The following is a 3,724-nucleotide window of genomic DNA, read 5'->3' on the forward strand; positions in this document are numbered from 1 at the left end:
ATAATCTGCAAGTGGATATATGGAGAGTTTTGAGGCCTGTGGTTGAAATGGAAATATCTTCACAGAAAAACTAGACAGAAGCATTCTCAGAGACTTCTTTGTGATGTGTGCATTCAACTCACAGAGTTGAACCTTCCCTTTGATAGAGCAGTTTTGAGACACTCTTTTTGTAGAATCTGCAAGGGGATATTTGGAGTGCTTTGAGATCCATGGTGGAAATGGGGATATCTTCACATAAAAATTAGACAGAAGCATTCTCATAAGCTTCTTTGTGATGTGTGTATTCACCTCAGAGAGTTGAAACTTCCTATTGATACAGCTCTTTTGAAAAACTCTTTTTGTAGAATCTTCAATTAGATAATTGGAGCGCTTTGAGCCCTTCATTGGAAACAGAAATATCTTCACATAAAAACTGGACAGAAGCATTCTGAGAAACTTCTTTGTGATGTGTGACATCAACTCACAGAATTGAACCTTACTTTTCGTAGAGCAGTTTTGAAACACTGTTTTTCTAGAATCTGCAAGTGGATATTTGGACCGCTTTGAGGACTTCATTGTAAACAGGAATATCTTCCCATAAAAACTGGACAGAAGCTTTCTCCTAAACTTCTTTGTGATGTGTTCATTCAACTCACAGAATTCAACCATTGTTTTCATGCAGCACTTTTGAAACACTCTTTTTGTAGAATCTGCAAGTGGACATTTAGAGTGCTTTGAGGCCTTCTTTGGAAAGGGGTATATCTTCACATAAAAACTAGACAGAATTGCTCTCAGAAACTTCTTCCTGATGTGTGCATTCAAGTCACAGAATTGAAGATTTCTTTTGATAGAGAAGTTTTGTAACACTCTTTTTGTAGTATCTGCAAGTGGACATTTGGAGCGCTTTGAGGCCTTCTTTGGAAAGGGGTATATCTTCACATAAAAACTAGACAGAATTGCTCTCAGAAACTTCTTCCTGATGTGTGCATTCAAGTCACAGAATTGAAGATTTCTTTTGATAGAGAAGTTTTGTAACACTCTTTTTGTAGAATCTGCTAGTGGATATTCAGAGTGCTTGGAGACCTATGGTGGAAAAGGAAATATGTTCATGTAAAAACTAGACAGAAGCATTCTCAGAAACTTCTTTGTGACGTGTGCGTTCCATTCACAGAGTTGAACCTTTCCTTTGATAGAGCAGTTTTGAAACACTATTTTTGTAGAATATGCGAGTAGATATTTGGATCGCTTTGAGGCCTATGTTGGAAAAGGAAATATCTTCACATAAAAATTACACAGAAGAATTCTCAGAAACTACTTTTAGATGTGCACATTCAACTTGCAGAGTTGAACATTTCTTTTGATAGAGCAGTTTTTAAACACTCTGTTTGTAGTATCTGTAAGTGGATATTTTGTTCCTTTTGAGGACTATGGTGAAAAATGAAATATCTTCACATAAAAACTAGACACAAGCATTCTCCCAAATTTCTCGGTGCTGTGTGCATTCAACCCACAGTATGGAACCTTTCTTTTGATAGAGCAGTTTTGAAACACTCTTTTTGTAGAATCTGCAATTGGATATTTAGTTTCCTTTGAGGACTGTGTTGGAAAATGAAATATCTTCACATAAAAACTAGACAGAAGAATTCTCCGAAACTTCTTCATGATGTATGCATTCAACTCACAGAGTTGAACCTTACTTTTGATAGAGCAGTTTTGAAACACTCCTTTGTGGAATCTTAAAGTGGATATTTAGATTCCTTTGAGGCCTGTGGTGGAAAACGAAATACGTTTACATAAAAACTAGACAGAAGCATTCTCAGGAACTTCTCTGTGATGAGTGCATTCAACTCACAGAGTTGAAACTTTCTTTTTACAGAGCAGTTTTGAAACACACTTTTTGTAGAATCTGCAATTGGATATTTGGTTCCCTTTGATGACTATAGTGAAAAAGGAATTATCTTCACATAAAAACTAGAAAGAAGAATTCTCCAAAACTTCTTTGTGATGTGTGTATTCACCTCACATAGTTGAACCTTTCTTTTGATAGAGCAGTTTTCAAACACTCTTTTTGTAGAATCTGCAAGTGGATATTTGGTTTCCTTTGAGGCCTCTGTTCGAAAACGAAATATCTTCACATAAAAACCAGACAGAAGCATTCTCAGAAACTTCTTTGCAATGTGTGCATTCAACTCACAGAGGTGAACCTTTATTTTAATAGAGCAGTTTTGAAACACGCTTTTTGTAGAATCTGCAAGTGGATATTGGGAGTGATTTGTGGCCTATGGCGGAAAAAGAAATATCTTCACATAAAAACAAGAGAGAAGCTTGCTCAGAAACTTCATTGTGAAGTGTGAATTCAACTCCCAGAGTTGAATCTTTCTTTGGTTAGAGCAGTTTTCAATCAATCTTTTTGTAGAATCTGCAAGTGGATATTTGGTTCCCTTTGAGGTCTATGGTGAAAAAGGAAATATCTTCACATATAAACTACACACAAGTATTCTCTGAAACTACCTTGTGATGTGTACATTCAACCCATAGATTGGAACCCTTCTTTTGATAGAGCAGTTTTGAAGCACTCTTTTTGTATAAATTGCAAGTGGATATTTGGAGCGCTTGGAGGCATATGGTGGAAAAGAAAATATTTTCACATAAAAACTAGACATAAGCATTCTCCGAAACTTCTTTGTGATATGTGCATTCAACTCACAGAGTTGAATCTGTCTTTTGATAGAGCAGTTTGGAAACACTGTTTTTGTAGAATCTGCCAGTGGATATTTGGAGCACTTGGAGGCCTATGGTGGAAAAGAAAATATCTTCACATAAAAACAAGACACAAGCATTCTCCGAAACTTCCTTGTGATGTGTGCATTCAACTCACAGAGTTGAACACTTCTTTTCGTAGAGTAGTTTTGAACCACTCTTTTTGTAGAATCTGCAAGTGAATATTTGGAGTGCATTGAGGCCTATCGTGGAAAAGGAATTATCTTCACATAAAAACTAGACAAAAGCATTGTCAGAAACTTCTTTGTGATGTGTGCATTCAAAGCACAGAGTTGAACCTTTGTTTTAAAAGAGCAATTTTGAAACACTCTTTTTGTAGGATCTGAAAGTGGATATTTTGTTCCCTTTGAAGCCTATGGTGAAAAAGGAAATATATTCACATAAAAATTAGGCACAAGCATTATCAAAAACTTCGTTGTGGTGTGTGAATTCAACTCTCAGAGTTGAACATTTCTTTTAAAGGAGCAGTTTTGAAACACTCTTTTTGTATAATCTGCAAGTGGATATTTGTATCGCTTTGAGGCCTATGGTGGAAAAGGAAATATTTTCACAGAAAAACTAGACAGAAGAATTCTCAGAAATATATTTGTGATGTGTGCATTCAACTCACACAGTTGAACCTTTCTTTTGGTAGAGCAGTTTTGAAACAATCTTTTTGTAGTATCTGCAAGTGGATATTTGGAGCACTTGGAGGCCTATGGTGGAAAAGAAAATATCTTCACATAAAAACAAGACACAAGCATTCTCCGAAACTTCCTTGTGATGTGTGCATTCAACTCACAGAGTTGAACACTTCTTTTCATAGAGTAGTTTTGAACCACTCTTTTTGTAGAATCTGCAAGTGAATATTTGGAGCGCATTGAGGCCTATTGTGGAAAAGGAAATATCTTCACATAAAAACTAGACAAAAGCATTGTCAGAAACTTCTTTGTGATGTGTGCATTCAAAGCACAGAGTTGAACCT

This window comes from Homo sapiens, chromosome 7 (assembly GCF_000001405.40).
Source record: "Homo sapiens chromosome 7, GRCh38.p14 Primary Assembly".
Taxonomy (NCBI): domain Eukaryota; kingdom Metazoa; phylum Chordata; class Mammalia; order Primates; family Hominidae; genus Homo; species Homo sapiens.